The sequence below is a fragment of the Homo sapiens genome, chromosome 5 (genome assembly GCF_000001405.40).
Source record: "Homo sapiens chromosome 5, GRCh38.p14 Primary Assembly".
In the NCBI taxonomy this organism is placed as follows: Eukaryota; Metazoa; Chordata; class Mammalia; order Primates; family Hominidae; genus Homo; species Homo sapiens.
In genome coordinates, this window is record NC_000005.10 from 21,486,570 (window position 1) to 21,509,710 (window position 23,141).

The 23,141-nt window shown below is 43.4% G+C and overlaps 1 pseudogene across 2 annotated transcripts in view, besides 1 other annotated feature; it reads left to right on the forward strand.

Annotated features, from left to right (window-relative positions):
* The window catches only part of GUSBP1 (GUSB pseudogene 1), a 129,860-nt pseudogene that overhangs the window by 27,057 nt on the left and 79,662 nt on the right, over positions 1 to 23,141 (forward strand). The window contains exons 4-6 of one of the 2 annotated variants that reach the window (NR_027028.3): positions 4,752 to 4,939; positions 8,529 to 8,613; positions 10,453 to 10,627. The product of NR_027028.3 is annotated as a GUSB pseudogene 1, transcript variant 3 (transcript). Of the gene's footprint in view, positions 1 to 4,751; positions 4,940 to 8,528; positions 8,614 to 10,452; positions 10,628 to 15,122; positions 15,258 to 23,141 lie in introns of those variants that run through there. The other variant, NR_027026.2, reaches the window with a different exon arrangement.
* Positions 8,292 to 8,970: an enhancer, noted in NCBI's record as "H3K27ac hESC enhancer chr5:21494970-21495648 (GRCh37/hg19 assembly coordinates)". NCBI's record gives its function as "activates a minimal SCP1, AML or CMV promoter by ChIP-STARR-seq in primed H9 embryonic stem cells {active_cell/tissue: H9 hESC(primed)}" and the evidence as "EXISTENCE:reporter gene assay evidence [ECO:0000049][PMID:30033119]".

Here is a 23,141-nt window from a genome sequence, read left to right on the forward strand (position 1 = left end):
CACAGTGCCTGCAGTGTCTTTGCATAGTAAGAGTGACTTTACTCCATTTCCCAACAAATTCCTCATCTCCCTCTGAGACCACCTCCGCCTGGACCTTATTGTCCATATCACTATTAACATTTTGGTCAAAGCCATTCAACAAGTCTCTAGGAAGTTCCAAACTTTCCCACATTTTCCTATCCTCTTCTGAGCCTTCCAAACTGTTCCAGCCTCTCCCTGTTACCCATTTCCAAAGTTGCTTCCACATGTTCGGGTATCTTTACAGCAGCACCCCACTCTACTGGTATCAACTTATTGTATTAGTCTGTTCTCACACTGCAAATAAAGACATACCTGAGACTGGGTAATTTATAAAGGAAAGAGGTTGAATTGACTCACAGTTCTGCATGGCTGGGGAGGCCTCACAATCATGGTGGAAGGCAAGGAGGTGCAAAAGCATGTCTCACATAGTGGCAGGCAGGAGAGAGCATGTGCAGGGGAGCTCCCATTTATAAAACCATCAGATCTCATGAGACTTAGTCACTACCACGAGAACAGTATGGGGGGAACCATCCCCATGATTCAGTTATCTGCACCTGGCCCCACCCTTGACACGTGGGAATTATTACAATGCAAGGTGAGATTTAGGTGGGGACCCATCCAAACTATGTCAGTATGTTTTGACTTCTGGCTTGATTGCTAGGTTGCATGGAGGACAAACATGGAAATTAATGAAGTACCTTAATATCTGGCTTCAGATCTTAGACAGGATCAGAGGGCCAGCTCAAATTTGCAAGGAGGGGAGGTAGATCCCACCATTTTATGGGTGAATGGCAAAATCAAGCAGAAATTATGTGGGACGGGAGATACTGATGCAGGCATCTTTGGAAACATTCTACTTAGCTAATTTTATGCTAGGCTTTAGGTCAAGAAGGAGAGAGAGAGCTGACATGCTGTGGTACACACTTATAGTCCCAGCGACTTGGAAAGCTGAGGCAGGAGGATTGCTTGATCCCAGGAGTTTGAGGTAGTGTGCGATGATCGTTCTTGTGAATAGCCACTAGCCACTGAACTCCAGCTTGGGCAACACTGAGACACCCTGTCTCTTAATTTAAAAAAAAAAAAAAAAAAAAAAAAAAAAAGGAGGAAAGAAAGTGGTCTCAGTTTTTAATGTAAATATTTTTAATGGGATAATGATATTTTAAGATTAATGTATATTGTATATCAGTTAACTATAGGTCAATAATTATATAAAACTTAAGGTACGAAAAACATTTATTTTTGCTAACATATCCATGAGTTGACTGTTCTTGGCTTGGTGAGGCTGCAAGCTGCAGATAGAGTCTAGGTATGATTTCTGTGTGTTTGTTCCCCCTTGGATCAGTGGACTACCTGAGAATGTGTTTTTGTCACAGTGATAGAATCACAAGGAAACTCCAGTTCTGGAAGTACATTTTAAGCCATTGCTTCTATCATGTCCACTAACATTCAGTCAGCCAAAGCACATACCTTGTCCATGGCTAACATTGATAGTATAGATAAATATACCTGATCTCTAGCAGGAGGAACTGCATTGTCTTGGGGAAAGGTTTTAGATATAGGGAGGGGTGATGAGTTGGGAACAATAATGTAGTCTGCCACAAACATATTAAAGTGTAACTGGATATGGTTGCTGCAGAATTTTGAACCTTTGTTTTAATTGTGATTTTTACTCTTTTCCCCCTATCTAGTGCCCTTTTGTAATACAGTAATTCTCATGATTTTTGTCTGAATTGAAATCTTCTGAGATTAGATTGTCTACGAAAATACAGTCGATCCTCCTTGTTTTCAGCTTTTGTATTTGTGAACTCACCTACTATTTTTTGTAACCCCCAAATCAGTACTCACAGCACTTTCATAGTCATGTGTTTGCGCAGAGTGTCAAAGAATTTGAGTTTGAACAGGATGATATTCTGCCTTCTTTTTCAGCTCTCATACAATAGTCAGGTATCCTTTTTGTGGTCTATTTAATGCCATGCTTTTCCTGTTTTTGTACTGTTTGTTGGTTGTTTTGCCATTTAAATTAACCCCCAAGCATAGTGCTGAAGTGCTGCTTAGCATTCACAAGTCCAAGAAGTCTGTGATGTGTCTTACAGAGGAAATACATGCATTGAATAAACTCCATTCAGGCGTGAGTGCTGTAGTGCCATTGGCTGTGAGTTCAGTGTTAATGAATGAACAATGTATATTATTTATTTATTCTTCATTTAATTAATTATTATTATTTTTTTTGAGATAGAGTCTCACTCTGTTGCTCAGGCTGGAGTGCAGTGGTGCAGTCTTGGCTCACTGCAACCTCTGCCTCCTGGGTTCAAGCGATTCCCCTGCCTTAGCCTCCCAAGTAGCTAAGTCTACAGGCATGCGCCACCATGCCTGGCTAATATATATATATATATATATATATATATATTTTGTAGTTTTAGTAGAGACGGGGTTTCACCACGTTGGCCAGGCTGGTCTCGAGCTCCAGACCTCAAATGATCTGCCCGCCTTGGCTTCCCAAAGTGCTGGGATTACAGGCATTAGCCACTGTGCCTGGCCAACAATATATATTAAATAAGCACACATACAACAAAAGTAGGTGTTGGTAAGCTTACAAAAATGTGACCAGTAGCTTGCTGAAACCTAACTTTTTATTTGTTCATGGAACTTTCTAGACCGTAACTACACTGAATAATGAGAATCTGCTGTAATATTTTTAGGTGCTGTAGATGAGCCATTGGATTAAATTATTACAGTATGTTTCAGACTGCTCTATGTTGAACCCTAGTGAAATGCCTCTCAAACCCTCCTAAGGATCACAATCTCATGTCCTTTTTTTTGTTATTAAATGCCCAGTATGTGTTAGCGATTTAAACAAAATTCAAATATTTTTTTTTTTTTTTTTTTTTGAGACAGAGTCTCGCTCTGTCACCTAAGCTGGAGAGTGCAGTGGCATGATCGCGGCTCACTACAACCTCTGCCTCCCGGGTTCAAGCGATTCTCCTGCCTCAGCATCCTGAGTAGCTGGGATTACAGGCGCCCGCCACCACGCTGGGCTAATTTTTGTATTTTTAGTAGAGACGGGATTTCGCCAGGTTGTCCAGGCTGGTCTGGAACTCCTGACCTCATGCTATCTGCCTGCCTTGGCCTCCTGAAGTGCTGGGATTATAGGCGTGAGCCACCATGCCCGGCGTTGACTTTTTAATAATAACCATTCTGACTGGTGTGAGATGGTATGCCATTGTGGTTTTGATTTGCATTTCTCTAATGATCAGTGATATTGGGCTTTTTTTCATATGCTTGTTGGCCGCATGTGTGTCTTCTTTTGAAGTGTCTGTTTATGTCCTTTGCCCACTTTCTAATGAGATTTTTTTTTTCTTGTAAATTTGTTTAAGTTCCTTATCAGTGTTGGACATTAGATCTTTGTCACATGCATTGTTGCAACAATTTTCTCCTATTCTGTAGGTTGTCTGTTCACTCTGTTGATAGTTTCTTCTGCTGTGCAGAAGCTTCAAGAAGAAAGGAATCCGATTGGTTCTGTGTCTGTCTCTTTTGGTATTCTCAGACTTATGTAGTCATCCATATAGAAAGGTGATTAGGAAAATAGGACAAGAATAGCAGAAATCTACATAAAAATGTAGGAAATTAAAATTAGTTACCAGCATACAAAAAACTACTATATGTTATAATTACATACTATAACTCACCCCTCCTTGCCAAATATTCTCTCTCTTTTGACTTCAAAATCATGGCTTATATGTACTTTCTCTATTTCCCAGATGCAAATATAATTAATTGACTTTATTTATCTAGGAAATATTACTGATATCTTAATTGTAGTCATTGGCTTGAGTGACGGGTTTTGGTAATTCAACTACTATTACTTGAAAGTAGTAGATTTCATAAGATACTGTTATAAAATCTTTTTAACCTCTTTTCTGATTTCAGGAGTAATTAGTAATTGTGGTTTACTGGAAAATTCAATGAATAGCGTGTTAAAGGAAGCAATTCGTTAATAATATATCTAATCTATTGGGAGACTGAGGCGGGTGGGTCACCTGAGATCAGGAGTTCGAGACCAGCCTGGCCAACATGGCAAAACTCCGTCTCTACTAAAAATACAAAAATTCGCCGGGCATGGTGGTGCATTCCTGTATTCCCAGGTACTCGGAAGGCTGAGGCAGGAGAATCACCTGAACTCCAGAGGTGGAGGTTGCAGTGAGTCAGGATCGCAGCACTACACTCCAGCCTGGGTGACAGAGTGAGACTCCATCTCAAAAAAAAAAAAAATTAAAAAATTAAATTAAAAAAAAGCGGGCCGGGCGCATTGGTTCAGGGCCGGGCACGGTGGCTCAAGCCTGTAATCCCAGCACTTTGGGAGGCCGAGGCAGGCGGATCACGAGGTCAGGAGATCAAGACCATCCTGGCTAATGTGGTGAAACCCGGTCTCTACTAACAATACAAAAATTAGCTGGATGTGGTGGCAGGTGCCTGTAATCCCAGCTATTCCAGAGGCTGAGGCAGGAGAATCACTTGAACCTGGGAGGCAGAGGTTTCAGTGAGTCCAGATCATGCCACTGCACTCCAGCCTGGGTGACAGAGCGAGATTCTATCTCAAAAAAAAAAAAAAAAAAAAAAAAAAGCAACAGAAGCAAATGAGAGTGCCTGGGAGTGGTCATTGTGGGGCATTCCTGTTTGTGTGACCCAGGTCATGTCCCTCCCTAAGCCCTGGTCTCTCTTGCCTCCTGCAGGGCTGGTGAATTACCAGATCTCCGTCAAGTGCAGTAACCAGTTCAAGTTGGAAGTGTGTCTTTTGAAATCAGAAAACAAAGTCGTGGACAACCAGGCTGGGACCCAGGGCCAGCTGAAGGTGCTGGGTGCCAACCTCTGGTGGCCGTACCTGATGCACGAACACCCCGCCTACCTGTACTCGTGGGAGGTAATGGTGGTTTGGGACTTGCTTAAGGGAGGTCTTTTGCTCCCATCTGGTAGCCCTGGCTTCAGCAGGAGCCCAGGACAGGTGAACGGGCAGGTGTGGTCCTCTGAGCTTTTCTGAGCTTTCTGATGTTTCCCACCCTTGGTGGGAGGCCCAGATTTTTTATTTATTTATTTATTTATTTATTTATTTATTTATTTATTTGTGATGGTCTCACTCTGTCACCCAGGCTGGAACGCAATGGCCTGATCACAGCTCACTGCAGCTTTGAGCTGCAATCCTCCTCCCTTGGCCTCCTGAGTAGCTGGGACTACAGGCACATGCCACCATGCCTGGCTAATTAAAAACATTTTTTTTGTAGGCCGGGCATGGTGGCTCACGCCTGTAATCCCAGCACTTCGGGAGGCTGACGCGGGCGGATCACTTTAGGCCAGGAGTTGGAGACCAGCCTGGCCAACATGGTGAAACCCCGTCTCTACTAAAATATGAAAATTTGCAGGGCATGATGGTGCACGTCTGTAATCCCAGCTACTCGGGAGGCTGAGGCAGGGGAATTGCTTGAACCCAGGAGGCAGGGGCTGCAGTGAATTGAGATCATGCCACTGCACTCTATCCTGGGTGACAGAGTGAGACTGTCTCAAAAAAAAAAAATCCTTTTTATAGAGTTGGGGGTCTTACTAGGTTGCCCAGGCTGGTCTTGAACTCCTGGACTCAGGTGATCCTCCTGCCTTAGCCTCCCAAAGTGTAGGGATTCCAGGCATGAGCCACCTCGTCTGGTCAAGGAGAAGGCCTGATTTTGAAGGGCAGGTCCCAGGGCCAGCCAGTGAAGGGCAGAGCCTCTGATTGCTGCTTCTCTGCAGGCCCAGAGGCGACTTCTGGGGTGCATGCACGAGGGGTCTTCCTGCTGTAGGGCAGGCCAGATGGGGCTCAGGCTGTCGGGGCGCTCACACCTGGCGCTTTGGCTGTCATAGGTGCGGCTGACTGCACAGAAGTCACTGGGGCCTTTGACTTCTACACACTCCCTGTGGGGCTCCGCACTGTGCCCGTCACCGAGAGCCAGTGGGTGAGAGCCAGTTTCATTTGTGGTAGAGGCAGCAGAGGTTGTAGAAATGCTCCTTGAGGCAGATGCCACACCCCAGTTTCATGGAGTGATTTGGGCTGAGCCGAGTCTGCAGCAGGCAGAAGGCTCTGAGATGTTGTCCTAGCCTGGGCAGAGGACAATTCAGAGCTCGGGGGAATAGGGGTGTGCTCAGCACGACTGGGTGGACAGGCCCTTTGTTGTGAATCGTACAGGCTTCCAGGAGCGGGTGCCTGAGGCTTCCAGACAGGCTTTGGGAGGTGGCCAGAGGAGATGCCTGTTTCCGGGGCAGGAAATGGAGGGAGCGCCCAGGCTGGAGAGGTTCAGCCAGGCTGTCACAAGGCTTTGAAGCTTCCCATCTGAGAGCCTGGCTATTGGAGAGTGTGGGTTTGGAACTTGAGGCTAGGAGGTTCTGTTCTGTCCTGTGCCAGCCACAGCCTTCGGATGGGCAGAGCAATGATGGGGGGAAGATGTAAAAGAAAAGAACTGAGGAAAGAAGAAGAAAACCAGCTTCAACAACAGTCTAGGCCGGATGCGGTGGGTCACGCCTGTAATCCCAGCAGTTTGGGAGGCTGAGGTGGGTGGATCACCTGAGGTCAGGAGTTCGAGACCAGCCTGGTCAACAGGTAGTGAATCCTGTCTCTACTAAAAATACAAAAATTAGCTGGGCATGGTGGTGGACGTCTGTAATCCCAGCTACTAGGTAGGCTGAGGCAGGAGAACCGCCTCAGGTGAACCAGGAGGCAGAGATTGCAGTGAGCTGAGATAATGCCACTGCATTCCAGCCTGGGCTACAGAATGAGACTCTGTATCTCAAAAAAACAAAACAAAACAAAAACACAACAGTCTGTTCTGTGGAGGCCTTGGGCAGATGCTGGGAGCTCTGAGCACAGACTGGTCCCTCTGTTGGGAGCCTCTTCCCTTCATCCCTCCTGGTTAACTTGACTCAGCATAAAGGCCATTTCTTCTAAGAGCCTGTCCCTGACTCTCCAATCGGGGATGTGTCTGTTGTCTCATAGAGTGCCCAATTCCTGCCACCATTTGTCATTTCCATTCGCAACATTTCTTTCATTGTTTGTTTTTCAGAGTCAGGGTCTCACTCTGTTGCCCAGGCTGGAGTGCAGTGGTGCAATCATAGCTCGTTGCCATCTCGACCTCCTGGGCTTAAGCGATCCTCCCCTCTCAGCCTCCCAAATAGCTGGGACCACAGACGTGCGCTGCCTTGCCAGGCTAAATTTTAATATTTTTTTTCCCCACGAGTCAGAGTCTTGCTCTGTCTCCCAGGCTGGAGAGCAGTGTTGCGATCTTGGCTCACTGCATCCTCTACCTCCTGGGTACAAACAGTTCTCCTGCCTCACCCTCCCGAGTAGCTGGGATTACAGGCTCACGCCACCATGCCCAGCTAGTTTTCTTCTTTATTTTTTGTTGAGATGGGGTTTCACCATGTTGGCCAGGCTGGTCTCGAACTCTTGAGCTCGTGATCCACCTGCCCTGGCCTCCCAAAGTGCTCACAGGCTTGAGCCACCATGCCCGGCCCTAATTTTTAAATTTGTTGTAGAAACAAGGTCTTGCTATGTTGCCCAGGCTGGTCTCAAGCACCTGGTCTCAAGTAAGCCTCCCAAAGTGCTGGGGTTCTAGGCGTGAGCCACCTCGCCTGGCGCTTGCACCGTTTTTCTGTGCATGCATCTCCACTCCCACTGCCCAGGACCTGTGGACTTAGATTTGAGTCATTACTGAGCACCTAGCACCCAGCCTCATGCCTACCTCCCACCTCGCACTACCTGTTTGCTTGATGCATTAATAAATATTCCACCTGAATCCACAGCCCATTCACTCCTGTGTTCAAGGGCTATTTCAGGAAGTGAACCTCATTTTTGGCAGTGTTCAGTCCAGTGACCTCAGCTCTGTGTACCTGGCAGGGTGGCTACGCCTCTGGGGGAATTGGATTCAGGGGTGGGGGAGAAAGAGTGTTGTTAGAGAGCTTGGTCTAGGACTAGAGGAACGTGCCCTTATGTAAAATACATCTCAAGTTAGGGAAGAAAGCAGCGGCTCTGTGCTTTGTTTTTTTTTTTGTTTTTTTTTCTTTTCTTTCTTTTTGTTTGTTTGTTTGTTTGTTTGTTTGTTTGTTTTGGGGCAGGGTCTTGCTCTGTGGCCCAGGCTGGAGTGCAGTAGCGTGATTTCGGCTCACTGCAACCTCCACCTCCCGGGTTCAAGCAATTCTTGTGCCTCAGCCTCCCGAGTAGCTGGAGTTACAGATGCGTGCCACTAAGCCTGGCTAATTTTTGTATATTTAGTAGAAATGGGGTTTTGCCATGTTGGCCAGGCTGTTCTTGAACTCCTGACCTCAGTGATCTGCCTGCCTCAGCCTCCTGAAGTGCTGGGATTACAGATGTGAGCCATCATGCCTGGCCCCCAGTTGTGTTCTGGCAGGGGAAGATGGGACAGAGAGGATGGGAGGGTGTCTGAGCCTTTCCCGGACTGACGGAACCTGTGTCTTCTCTCTTTTGTGGACAGGATGGTGATTGCTCACACCAAAGCCTTGGACCCCTCCCAGCCTGTGACCTTTGTGACCAACTCCACCTACGCAGCAGACAAGGGGGTGAGCCTGGGGGTCCCCACCCCATTTCTCCCTGCCTTTGCCTGGGCTTGTCCTGAAGCCTGCTCATGGGAAGAGCTGGAAAGAACCATGTGCTGCCAGTCTGAGCTTTTTATTTTGTTTTACTTAGAAAGATAGAGACAGGGTCTTGCCATGTTGCCCAGGCTGGTCTCGAACTCCTGGGCTCAAGTGGTCCTCCTGCCTCGGCCTTCCAGAGGGCTGGGGTGACAGGCGTGTGCCACCGCACTCAGCCGCAGCCAGTCTGTTTTCAAAGATGGTCTTTGGGTTAATGACAATTCTCTCTCTGCTTACTCTCTAGGCAGTGTGGCTTTCTGAATTTAAGGAGGCTGGGCATAGGGAGATGGGATTTGTTTGCCCAGTTTGGACTCAGCATTTTTTGTACTCGATTTAATAGACTCATAAAATGTCAAAGGTTTAAGTGAGCTTAGAGTTCATCTGGCCCAAACCTGGCTGATCAGAATCTCCAGGGGAAGTTTTATTGAAATGCCAGATCTCTGCATTCTGAGATCCTGATTTAGTAACTCCAGGGTTGGAACCTGAGTTTTTTTTTGTTTTTGTTTTTTTTTTTTGTGAAGGCAAGGTCTTACTCTGTTGCTCTGGCTGGAGTGCAGTGGTGTGATCACAGCTCACTGCAGCCTTGAATTCCTGGGCCTAAGCAACCCTCTTGCCTCAGCCTTCCAAGTAGCTGGGACTCCGGGTGTACACCACTGTGCCCGGCTAATTTTAAATGTTTTTGTAGAGATGGGATCTCACTATGTTGCCCAGGCCAGTCTCAAACTCTTGAGCTCAAGTGATCCTCCTGCCTTAGCCTCCTAAAGTGCTGGGATTACAGGCATGAGCCACCGTGCCTGGCTGATACTAGCATTCTTTTTTTTTTTTTTTAAAAAAAAGATGGAGTCTTGCTGTGTTGCCCAGGCTGGAGTGCAGTGGCACAGTCTCAGCTCACTGCAACCTCCGCCTCCCAGGTTCAAGCAATTCTCCTGCCTCAGCCTCCCAAGTAGCTGGGATAACAGGCACATGCCACCACGCCTGCGCTTGATCGTGGGAGGCAGAGGTTGCACTATTGTGCCACTCCATTCTAGCCTGGGCAACAGAGCGAGACTCTGTCTTCCAAATAAAGCGAAAAAAGATTATCTGCGAGAATGACTGCATTGGCCCCTTGGGTGGGAGGGCTTCTCCAGGGCAAGGTGAGGGGATGCCCAGTGCTGGGAGTGCTGCCTGGAGAGGAGTCAGTTCCAGTGGCGGGGGCCCTGGGTTTTGGCTGAGGACTGCGTGTTGGCAGCTGCTCTGCCTCTCACAGCCCTTCCCAGCTGCACACGTCGTGAGCGTCAGTGTGCAATCACAGGCCTGCCTCCTTTGGGCCACTTTGTGACCATGTTTTTTGCTTGTGGGGCAGGGTAATTTCAGGATCTAAATTGGTGCAGTTGGATGTTCTCAGCCCCGAGAGGCAGCTCTTCCCGTTCTAGGCTTTTTGTTTTGTTTTGTAGAAATGGAGTCCTACGATGTTGCCCAGGCTGGTCTCAAACTCCTGGGCTCAAGTGATCCTCCCACCTTGGCCTCCCAATGTGCTGGGATTACAGGCATGAGCCACTGTGCCGTGCTAATTTTCTTGATACTATTTTTTGTAGAGCTGGGGTCTTGCTGTGTTGCCCAGGCTGGTCTCGAACTCCTGGCCACAAGCCACCCTCCTGCCTCAGCCTCCCAGAGTGCTGGGATTACATCCCCTTCTTACCTTCTCTGTCAGAGGAGCCCCCACAGCATGTGAGTACTGAGTCATGCGGTCTTGTGGTTGCTGAACGGGCTCTGCTGCTCTGGTCCTAGGCTCTGTATGTGGATGTGATCCGTGTGAACAGCTACTACTCTTGGTATCGCAACTACGGGCACCTGGAGTTGATTCAGCTGCAGCTGGCCGCCCAGTTTGAGAACTGGTGTAAGACATCACAATCCCATTATTCAGAGCGTGTATGGAGTGGAAACGCTTGTAGGGTTTCACCAGGTAAGCGGTGTTGAACTTTCTGCTTGTGTATTCTCTCTTGGCAGAGATGCCACTTGCCTCTCCCACCCTGCCCTGCGCCCACTGCAGTGCTCCCCTTGCTTCAGCTTTGGGCTCACCTCCCGCTACCCTGTCCACGTTCCCTTCTCACCAGCAGCCAGGCCTCTGTCCCACTCGCTTGGTCCTCAAAGGTGGACTCCTTACTGGCCTTGTTTCCAGACAGCCTCCTATCACCCGTTCCCAAGTGGTCTTTCTAACAAATCCAAATTTTTGTGTGTTTTTGAGTCCGCCTCTTTCTCTGTCACCCAAGCTGGAGTGCGGTGGTGCGATCACTGCTCACTGCAGCCTTAACCTCCTGGGCCCGAGCGATCTTCCCACCTCAGCCTCCTGAGTAGCTGGGACCATAGGCACAGGCCAACATGCCTGGCTTATTTTTTTACTTTTGTAGAGAAGGGGCCTTGTTGTGTTCCCCGGGCTGGTCTTGAATTCCTGGGATCAAGTGATCCTCCTGCCTCAGGCTCACAAAGCGCTGGGATTACAGGTGTGAGCCACTGTGCCCGGCCACAAATCAAAATTTTTGAGTCCTATCATTGGCTCCCCCAGGCCCATAGGACAAAGTCCTAACCACTAGTCAGGACACTCAGTGTCCTCTGTTCTCTCCTGGGTTTTCATCCTCTTCTCTTCTCACTCCTGGCCACTGATCTGTTTCCACTGCCCTCATTTGCTCTCCTGCTCTTGCTTGAGCTATTCTTTCTGCCTGAAATGCCCATGTTGGCACCATAATCACCAACTAAAAGATCCTTTTCTTTTTATTTTTTTAGAGATAGGGTCTTGCTATGTTGCCCTGGCTGGTCTCAAACTCCTGGACTCAATTGATCTTTTTGCCTTGGCCTCCGAAAGTGCTGGGATTAGCAGGTGTGATCCACTGTGCTAGCCTTTTTTTATTTATTTTTTTCCTGACAGGGTCTTGTTCTGTTGCCCAGGCTGGAATGTGGTGGTGTCATCATAGCTCACTGCAGCCTCGAACTCCTGGGCTGAAGCAATTCCCCTGCCTCAGCCTCCTGAGTAGCTGGGACTACAGGCGTGCACCACCATGTGCAGCCTAGTTTTAAAATATTTTGTAGAGATGCAGTCTCGCTATCAGGCTGGTCTTCACCTCCTGTCTTGGACTCCCAAAGTACTGGGAATACAGGCGTGAGTCACGACACGTGGCTGAAAAGATTCCTATTTGGCATCTGAGTCTCCTCATAGCTGTCCCCTCTGTGGGGAGGTTTACCCTGCCTGCCCCAGGCGGAGGGAACCTTCCCCGTGCTCTGCCCTGTTGCAGCCGGAACCTGGCTCTCCCAACATTCTCGCCAGGCACCGTTGTTATTTCTTTGGCTCTCTCTTTGATCGGACTGTGGGCTCAGGAGACAGGAGTCCTATTTATTGTTGTTTCCCAGGTACTCTGCAATAGCTGACACAGCACATGCTAAATAATACCTATTGAGGGCATGGGTGAGATCTTAGAGCCATGTTTAATCACTCACTTTGTCTTTTTTTTTTTTTTTTTTGAGATGGAGTCTCACTCTGTCACCCAGGCTGAAGTGCAATGGTGTGATCTCAGCTCACTGCAACCTCCACTTCCTAGGCTCAAGCGATTGTCCTGCCTCAACCTCCCAAGCAGCTGGGATTACAGGCACCTGCCACCATGCCCAGCTAATTTTTGTATTTTTGTAGAGGTGGGGTTTTGCCATGTTGGCCAGGCTGGTCTCGAGCTCCTGACGTCAAGTGATTTGCCTGCTTCTGTGTCCCAAAATCCTGGGATTACAGGCCTGAGCCACCATGCCTGGCCTGTCCTCATTTGTTTATCCATCTCATTTTTTGTCCTTCTCACCAAAGATATGTTGCTTTGTCTTGTGGGGTTTTTTTCATGTGGATTCCTGAACCCCATCCAGCCCCTTGTCCCCTCCCCAGCCAGCTCACACTCTTTTGCACAGCTCCTGGGACTCCCGTTGACACACAGGGAACAGCCACCCACAATGGACTGCACTGTTCTGTTTGCACCCTTAAATTTATCGTGCTTACAGAATGACACTTCTGCAAACTAGTCAAGTAGGGGGAAGTGGTTTGTGGATATGCACCCTTGTTCATTCTCTTTGAAAAGGTAACCAGCTCTGAATTCTTTCTCCTTTGAGGAGGAGTTTCACTTGTCGCCCAGGCTGGAGTGTAGTGGTGCAATCTTGACTCACTGCTACCTCCGCCTCCCAGGTTCAAGCAATTCTCCTGCATCAGCCTCCCAAGTAGCTTGGATTACAGGCATGCACCACCATGCTCACCTAATTTTTTTTTTTTTTTTTTTTTTTAGTAGAGATGAGGTTTCACCATGTTGGTCAGGCTGGTCTTGAACTTTTGACCTCAAGCGATCCACCTGCCTTGGCCTCCCAATGTGCTGGAATTACAGGCATGAGCCACCATGCCCAGCCCCAGTTCTGAATTCTTAAGAAACTCGAGAGGGTCTAGGTGAGCATTGATAGAACCTCTGCAGTGCTGGGTGTGGTGGCTCACACCTGGAATGCTAGCCCTTTGGGAGACCGAGGTCAGAGGATCTCTTGAGCCCAGGAGTTTGAGACCAGTCTGCACAACATGGACCCCATCTCTACAAAATATTTAAGATGAGTTGTGGCTGGGTGCAGTGGCTGACGCCTGTAATCCCAGCACTTTGGGAGGCTGAGGTGGGTGGATCACGAGGCCAAGAGTTCAAGTCCAGCCTGACCAACATGGTGAAACCCCGTCTCTACTAAGAAAACACAGAAATTAGCTGGGTGTGGTGGCATGCACCTGTAATCCCAGCTACTCAGGAGGCTAAAGCAGGAGAATCGCTTGAACTGGGGAGGTGGAGGTTGCAGTGAGCCGAGATTGTGCCACTGCACTCCAGCCTGGGCGACAGAGCAAGACTCCGTCTCAAAAAAAAAAAAAAAAAAAATTGTTGGGTATGGTCGTGCTTGCCTCTAGTCCCAGCTACTTGGGAGGCTGAGGTAGGAGGACTGTTTGAGCCCAGTAGGTCAAGGCTGCAGTCCGCCATAATTGCACCACTGTACTCCCACCTGGGTGACAGAGTGAGACCTTGTTTCAAAAAAGAACCTTTGCAATGATGGAAATGCCCCATGTCTGCACTGTCTGAAATGGTAGCCACTAGCTACATGTGGCTATTGAGGTCTTGATATATGACTAGGATAACTGAATTTATTTGGTTTAATTAAAAAAAAATTTTTTTGAGACAGCCGTACTCTGTTGCCCAGGCTGGAGTGCAGTGGCGTAATCACAGCTCACTGCTCAACCTCCTGGGCTCAAGTGATCCTTCCTCCTCGGCCCCCCAAGTAGCTGGAGCCACAGGCATGCGCCACTACACCTAGTGAATATTTAGCCTTTTTATAGAGACTGGGTTTCACTGTGTTGCCTAGGCTGATCTTGAACTCCTGAGCTCAAGTGATCCTCCTGCCTCGACCTCCCAAAGTGCTGGGATTACAGACCTGAGCTACCATGCCCAGCCTGGTTTAGTTTAATTTCATTTTACATTCATTCATTCATTCATTCATTCATTCATGAGATAGGGTCTTGTTCTGTCACCCAGGCTGGAGTGTAGTGGTGCAAACACAGCTCACCACAGCTTTGACCTCCGGGACTGAAGCAGTCCTCCCACCTCAGCCTCCCAAGTAGCTGGGACCACAGGTGTGTGCCTCCATGCTTGGCTAACTTTTGTACTTTTTGTAGGCTAGTCTTGAACTCCTAGGCTCAAGCAGTCCTCCCAACTCGGTCTCCCAAAGTGCTTGGATGACAGACATGAGCCAGCGCGCCTGACCTAAAGACATATTTTTCCTTCTAGTGTAGTTCAGCTTTAAGACTGTATCAGCAGATAGAGACGGAAAAGTAATAAAAATTGAGTATCAGGTTATATTTATAAATAAAGCAGTTACTAATTGATGTTTTTTTTTTAAACCTCCTTTTTAATTCTGGGTTACATCATTCCCTGGCTGTCTTTTTTTGTTGTTGTTGTTGTTGTTTTTATTATTATACTTTAAGTTTTAGGGTACATGTGCACATTGTGCAGGTTAGTTACATACGTATACATGTGCCATGCTGGTGTGCTGCACCTACTAACTCGTCATCTAGCATTAGGTATATCTCCCAATGCTATCCCTTCCCCCTCCCCCCACCCCACAACAGTCCCCAGAGTGTGATATTCCCCTTCCTGTGTCCATGTGATCTCATTGTTCAATTCCCACCTATGAGTGAGAATATGCGGTGTTTGGTTTTTTGTTCTTGCGATAGTTTACTGAGAATGATGATTTCCAATTTCTCCCTGGCTGTCTTTACCCTAGCATCAGTGAGTCCTGCAGTCACTACAGCCCCCAGTGAGGACAGATATTTTGGTCACCATCAAGTGGATCTTTATTTTTACCTAACATTTACAATTCTGCCAGTTCTTACTCTTAATTCTCTTTGCCTTGAATCCCAGGATCCACCTTGATGTTCAGTGAAGAGTACCAGAAAAGTCTGCTAGAGCAGTACCATCTGGGTCTCAATCAAAAACGCAGAAAATACGTGGTTGGAGAGCTCATCTGGAATTTTGCCGATTTCATGACTAACCAGTGTAAGTGGCAGTTTAGCGCATGGGATAATGTACCCGTCCTCATTTTTTCAGGTTGCCTTGCCCATTCTGGACATTTTGGCTGTAAGAATATTGGAAACAAAGGGGGGAAGCTGGTTTAATCCATGTAGATTGTGTTGAGAATTTCCTAGGAAAAGTAAGTTGTGCTTAGGAAGTAGGAAAGCAGTCAGGCCCCCGCTTCCCACATACGGTCAAAAAGCAAACATGAGAGTCTGCTATAGTGAGATGGAAATGGCTAGCTTGCCTTTTTCTTGTCTATTTCATAGCCAAGGATGAAGGAAAAACTGGACCTCATTATGGATTTACTTTTGGGATACACTCATTATTCCAGAGGAGGGTAAAAGGCTGAGAAGCTTAAGGTATTTCAGTCTGTTTTATGTTACTCATTTGCGAAAAGTAGGCTCATCGAATACAGGTGAGTGTCAATGCGTCTTGAATATGGCAGCATTTAAAAGTCTTCAGACCAGGCATGGTGGCTCATGCCTGTCATCCCAGCACTTTGGGAGGCCAAGGTGGGAGGATTGCTTGAGGCCAGGAGTTCGAGACCAGCCTGTTCAGCATAGCAGGACCCCCATCTCTACAAAAACTAAACAGATTAGCTAGGTGTGGTGGTGTGTGCCTGTAGTCCTAGCTGCTTGGGAGGGTGAGGCAGGCGGATAGCCTGAGCACAGGAGATGGAGGCTGCAGTAAGCCATGATTACACCACTGCACTTGAGCCTGGGCAACAGAGTGAGACCTGTCTTTAAAAAAAAAAAGGAGCTGGGCACGGTGGCTCATGCCTGTAATCCCAGCACTTTGGGAGGCCGAGGCAGGCAGATCATGAGGTCAGGAGATCGAGACCATCCTGGCTAACAGTGAAACCCTGTCTCTACTGAAAATACAAAAAAAATCAGCCGGGCGTGGTGGCGGGCGCCTGTAGTCCCAGCTGCTCGGGAGGCTGAGGCAGGAGAATGGCGTGAACCCAGGAGTTGGAGCTTTCAGTGAGCCGAGATTGTGCCACTGCACTCCAGCCTTGGCGACAGTGAGACTGCTTCTCAAAAAAAAAAAAAGAAAAGAAAAGAAAGGGTCTTCAAAGACAATAAGATCTGTGCTCTCACGTAGGGTGGATGAGGGGCTGCCAAGTTAGCAATGAATGTTTCCCATTTCTTCTTAGTTTATGGACTTTCCATAAACTCAGGATGGCAGTTTGGTTGGTTGGAGAAGGATATGGTGATGGCGGGAGTTACAATACATTACTTATAGGGGAAGATAGGCTTTTGAAAGGTTAAAGCTTAAAAGTGAGAATGGAAAAGGGATGAATGAATGAACATGATGAGGTGAGAGGGAAGAGGTAAAGGGAAAAGGAGAACAAGAAACTCTTCTCTGCGTGGCACCTGGGATGAATGGTTTCTGGGGACATCCCTGATGGCAGTTTTGTGGAGAGGTGCAAAGCTTTGTGTGTTAAGAAATGAGCTGTAGGCTCAGTGCAGTGGCTCATGCCTGTAATCCCAGCACTTTGGGAGGCTGAGGTGGGCGGATCATGAGGTAAGGAGTTCGAGAGCAGCCTGGCCAACATGGTGAAACCGTGTCTCTACAAAAAAATAGAAAAAAAATCCCTGCATGGTGGTGAGCACCTGTAGTCCCAGTTACTCAGGAGGCTGAGGCATGAGAATCGCTTAAACCTCCGAGGCGGAGGCTGCAATGAGCTGAGATGGTACCACTGCACTCCAGCCTGGGTGACAGAGCTGGGTGGTGGCTCAAGATATGTTTTGTAAACCTGAAGATTTGAGATCATATAAGCCAAATAGAAACTTAATTGGCATTCATAACTTTTGGTTCTAGAGACTCCATGATCAACTAAGAGCCACCAAGCATTTCCCATGTAGACTATTTTGACCATGCTGACTCTACTGACACTGTGGTTACTGAATTCATTTTATCTCTAGAAATTAATTCTTACTAATGGATGTCTGTCACTGTAAGATCCTTCTATCCTCTGAAATAAGGAGAACATTTTAACTTCAGTAGTTTAAACTAGTGTCCTAAACTATAGCATTCAAAATGAGATAATATGCTAAAGTAATACACAAACCAAAAATCCCAGTGGCTAACACAAAAAGTTTTTCTTACTCATTTTACATATCCAGAGTAAGTCAGTAATAGACGCAGACACACCCAGAGACCAAGGATGAGTTGTGATCTGTCTGCACACATAGTTCACAATGCCTGAGTGAGTTGTGCATTGGCCTTGAAACTTCCACTCATGTTTAATTAATAAAGATTTTGCTCAAATGCCATTTGATGATGAGTTTCATGACCATGATCAACTTTAAAAGAACTTGGAAGTACAATCCTCAAGCGTTTCTGGAAATAGCAGAACTACAGTATTTGAGAAAAATATTTTTTAATGTATAAAAAATTGGCAGGGTAGGCTAGCAAGCAAGAGACCTAGAGAAAAGTTGATGTTACAGTCTCAAGACGAAAGGCAATCTGCAGGCAGAATTATTTCCTTCAGGGATCTCAGTCTTTTAATATAATCAATTGACTGGATGAGCCCTACAATATTTTGGAAAATAATCTGCTTTACTCAAAAATTACTGATTTTCATGTTAATCTCATCTAAAAATACTTTCAGAGCAACAACTAGAATGGTATTTGAATATATAACTCTTTTAACTTTTAAAATATCAAATAATACAGTTATATATATATACACACATATGTATATATGTCACCTAAATTGTAGATATCAGAAATCAGAATGCTGTGATATGAATATTTAGTATATTTTAATCATGATAAATTATACATCCTTCTACCTTATGATAATGGATTTTAAGATCTATGCTGTTAAACTCTATATTTACCCTTTAATTCATATCTTGCTTATTTTACATTTATCTGAGAATACATTGGGTCTACTAAATCTTTACTATCACTCACAGTCTTACGTTTTAAGATAATTTTTCAATAAAATAAAAATTCTTCATTGCACCTAGAAAGGAGCAGGGTTTTGAAAGTGATCAATGATTACTCTAATACCTAATATAATAATATAATATAGTAAAAATCAAAATACTTGAATGAAAAATGTAAAATTAATAGTTTTGCTTTCATTGTTTTTATTCCAGTGTCCATTTTAGAATGTTTTTACTCTAATTGTGTTTTTATGCAAAACCAAATGAGCTTTAGATAATTCCATTGATACATTACATATGAAAGTTCTCGTTAAATAGGATATAGCATATTTTACTTAAAAATCCAAATTATAAAATAAAGAGGGATTTTAAGTTGAGTCTAAAATTTTTGTTTCAATTTTGTTTTTATTTAAAGACTTGCTATAATTCTGTGAGAGAGCTATAAAAGTCTACTCAGAAACATTATAATGTAAAATGGCCAGAGAAGGACAATGAGATATTTAATTTGCCACGGCAAAGCCATTGCTGTGAAGAATGGATAATATATGTCAATGGTAATATATGAAGAAATAACACAGGTGAATAGCAGAGGCAATAAATCTGTTTTTACCACAGGACTTGTCTTACACTTTTCTCTTAGTAATAAATAAAATAATTTTCGACCAGATGGAGCTGGCTTGAAATCCTCTTGTTTATGGCAGTACATATCGGTTATGATTCAAAAAATATAGCCCATTTCCAAAAACCTGCAACAAAGAGATACTTTCTCAGGTGATTGTTCAGATCATTATTCATTACAAAGTGTCAGTTTTGTCTTTATTGATCCTCATTATTGTAAGAAAGTATGTGGTCTTGTCTCCATTCTATTAAAACAACATTGTAGAGATTAGCACTGAGTCTTTCCAGCCATATGCATCTGTTCATTTCCGTCTCCAGCTTGAGTTTTTCTGTGTATTACAAAATAAGAAAACAAAAATGACACAATAATCTATTTTGTCTGGTTTTGCTCTTTATTAGTAGAAATAGACAAGTGAGGAGTTGGAGGAAGAAATTGCTTCTGATCTGTTTTAGATACAGATGAAACTCTCCCTCCCTCCCCGCCCCACCCAATCTTTCTCTGTCTCCCTCCCTGAGCCTATTCTTGCTTCTTCCCTTTACAAATAATTAACTGCTCAGGTCATGTTGAACCAAAAAATAGCATCTGTAGCCCCTGTGTGCTTACTTTAAGTATATGTTACTGAAAAATGCGGAGTGAGCACTTACAACTCATTCTCCTGGGAAGCACAGTGATACTATACCCCAAATGCTTTTCTTTATCATTTTAATTTTTATCTTCTTTACTTACATTTCCAACATCAGTTAAGAGGGTCTTGTAGTTTTCTAACTGAAAGGAGATTGTAAAATCTCCTTGCTCAAAACTCAGATGCAGAATATTATTTTTACTACAATAAATACATCTACAACAATGGTATTATATCTGGTTTATTTCAAAGTCAAGTTCTAATATAGGTAAACAAATATACTAATAAAGAGATAATGCTTTTCTCATGAAATGTATAATCTAGTAGGAATAAAGATAAACAATTTTTTTAAAAATTCTATTTCATTAAGCAAAAATGCAACTCAGAAGAATAATGTATATTAGCAGTCATTTACTATTTTTCAATTAAATTCCGATATATATGTAAAGTAAATTATTACTAATATCAAACATAGTTTAAAGAATTAGTGACTATGTGCACTTGGATCTCCATATGTAATGTACTATCAGCATCTTCACAAACACAGTAAATTTTACTACGCAAGTAAAACTTATTTTACTAAACGATGATTACTCCTTCTATATTCATATTCCTAAACACATACAGTTTCTTAATGTAATTAAGTTTTTAACTAAAAAAAGGGAAATGCATTATTGAGGCGATAGGATTACTGGGTGGCTATAAACACATCTGCTGCACAGCTGACATTTATCTTCTACAATGAGCAATGACAATTTTATTTTTTAATAATCAGTATGGACTAATCCTGATGATTTTTTTTTAACATTTTCAAATAGGGCTGCATATGGCTTAAAATTAATATATACATGTGTACCTATATAATATTCTTATTTATTAATGGACTTCCTACATAGCTCATATTGACGTTAGATTTAAATGAAATTCCAGAAGGGTTTTCTATAGGTAAGTCATACATTGGATTTCCATATTACCTATGATTATTGAAGTATTTATTTCTGTTTTTAAGACTTCAGAGCAATTTTGCTGGTCATTTGTTTTCTGTGTTTTTATTTTGAAATTGTTCTTTGAGGCATTGTCCTATTACATTTTTAAGGTATGTTAATAAAATAATATTTTTAATGAAATTTTGCCTACTGCTTTCCAGGTGAACTCTTGTTTAAAGTATTAATTCGCCAAAAATTACTTATATTCAGAAAATGAACTAAAAAAAATAATATGACGTGTTCAAGAAAGTCGAACAAAAGATACGTGATGTTTGCAACATACACAACTCCATACCCTTCTCAAATAGTAAAGAGAATAGTAAATAGAATAGGTAGTAAGCAGAGTAGGAATTGTGGAATATGGAACTCTCAGTCACTCAATTGACTTTATTTTTTAGTAATACGGGATTTGAATTATTCAAGCTGAAGCCATTAAATATTCATAGTGCTTCATATTATAAAGTTATTGATTAATGTCTTTGGTAAAGAACACTATTATTTCTGATTACATCAAGGTCATCCCGAGGAACAGGACCAAAGCATAAAGTTTTATATATGAAATATGAGAAGTTAATACATAATTCATATTTAACAGATAACATAAATGTTAACCCCTTGGAGAATCTGAAGCTAATACCCATGTTCTTCTGACAATTCTTTATACTGGCAATTTGGAAAATGCCAGTGTTTTATCGCTACCTATTCTTGTATTATGACATGAATTAATACATATCTGCCTCACTATTCCTGTGGGCAAAAAAAGACTGTGAATTATGTGCCAGAGAGAGATTTTACAAAATTAAATGAGGCAAAATACTTTTCCTCTGTATACTCATTAGAAATATGCTGAGTAGTTCCTTTCAGTTCCTTTCACTTTCCGATAAAATATAATCAGTTCAGCCATATAACAGATATCTTTTAAACTTTTAATGTCCTCTGTTAGAATGAATATGATATTTGGGACCAATTCACATTTTGGAATAATGTACATACTAAGCATAAGTGAAGAATTTAAACATTAACTTGATTTAGGATTGGACTCTTAGTTTTAAAAAGTTGAAAAACGGAATTCCAACAAATTTAAATGGCTTGTTTAGGGTTTCCACAGGCAATATGGGGTGGTGCAATGGAAAGAGAATTCCTTTAATCTAAACGTGGGCTTTATTCTGGCTCTGCCACATATTGACTGTTTCATACAAATGTAACTTAAACTGCAGGTGTCATGATTTTTCACACATATACAAATAAAACAATATTGATTATATAGGATTTGTTGAGAAAATGCAATTATGCCAAGTACAAGTATTTGGCATATTATCTCACTTTATAAATATTAGCAATTCTTTTTGTGGAGGGAATAAATCTAACATGCTGGCTTTTAGAATTTCTTCTTATTTTTCTTTCAACTTTATTGCCATGTAACATTAAGTCAATAAATCTGACAATTAGACTGTGGGTAATTTTCTTCCAAATCCATATCTTGTTTTCTCTATCCATAGTAGCATTTTAAAACAACAGAAGGGAACTTTAATTACAGTAGGTTGGGAGCCATTTTCTCCCTTTGGTCATATTTTCATTGAAATTCCTACATTGTTTAATATTAGGACTTAGTATGAATATCAAATCAACAAAGTTGCTCAATACAAATACTATGGAATCATTTTTCTGTCATGCCACAGAACTTATTAACTGTATGTTCAAAATGCAGCTCAATTCTGATCATTTTTGCTACTTTCACCACTAGCATCCTGGTGCTAACCACCATCATTTATTGCCCAGGTTATTGAAATGGCCAGCAAACAGGTGTTTCTGATTCTGCATAAGGCACCCTTCAGTACATCCTCAAAAGAGCAATTTGTATAATCACTTTAAAACATGTATCAGGTTATTACCTTTTTCTGTGTAAAACTCTGATCTCTCATTTCATTCATTGTAAAAGTCAGAACATGCACAATGCTTTATAGATGCTCCACCACATGAAGCCCCCAATTCTTCTATGGACTTCCCTCCTTCCACTATGTAATTTTCTCACTCAGCTTCACGTACAGTATTTTCTTGGTTATTACTAAACATGCAACAGATACGGTTTGTTCTATATCTTCCTCATGCTTTTGGTCAGATGCCATTATCCCAGTGAGGTTTTCCATAGCCACTTTATTCAAAGTCCAAACAATCTGTCCCCTTAGACATTCTCCATTCTTAATTTTTTGCCATTGTACTTACTACAGTCTAACACACTATACATGTTACATTTTTGCTTATTGTTTATTGTATAGTCCCTAGAATATTAGTTCCCTGAGGACAGAGATTTCTATAAGCTTTTCCAAAGATGTATCCCCAAAGCCTAGAATGCTACCTGGCAACAAATACTTGTTATAATGAATTAGAAGTGGGTAGATTCACACATCAGAGACAGCGTAGTGTATATAATGATTTTTTAAAGCATTAGAGTCATAGATACTAGGATTTGTATTATGTCTTCACCATTTACAATTATGCTACCCTCAACAAGTTGTTTAATCTTTCCATTCCTCAGTTTCCTCATGACTCATATATTGGAAATATTGTCTACCTCAGAGCTCTTCCAAGAGTAATATTGAGACAATGTTTCAACAATGTTTAGCACATTGCTGAATATTAATACATTATTTCTATTAATGTAAGAAATTTCATAGACTTGCTAGAAATAATGAGGATGGAATATAGATGAAGATCATAAAACATGATGGAAATAAATGTTGG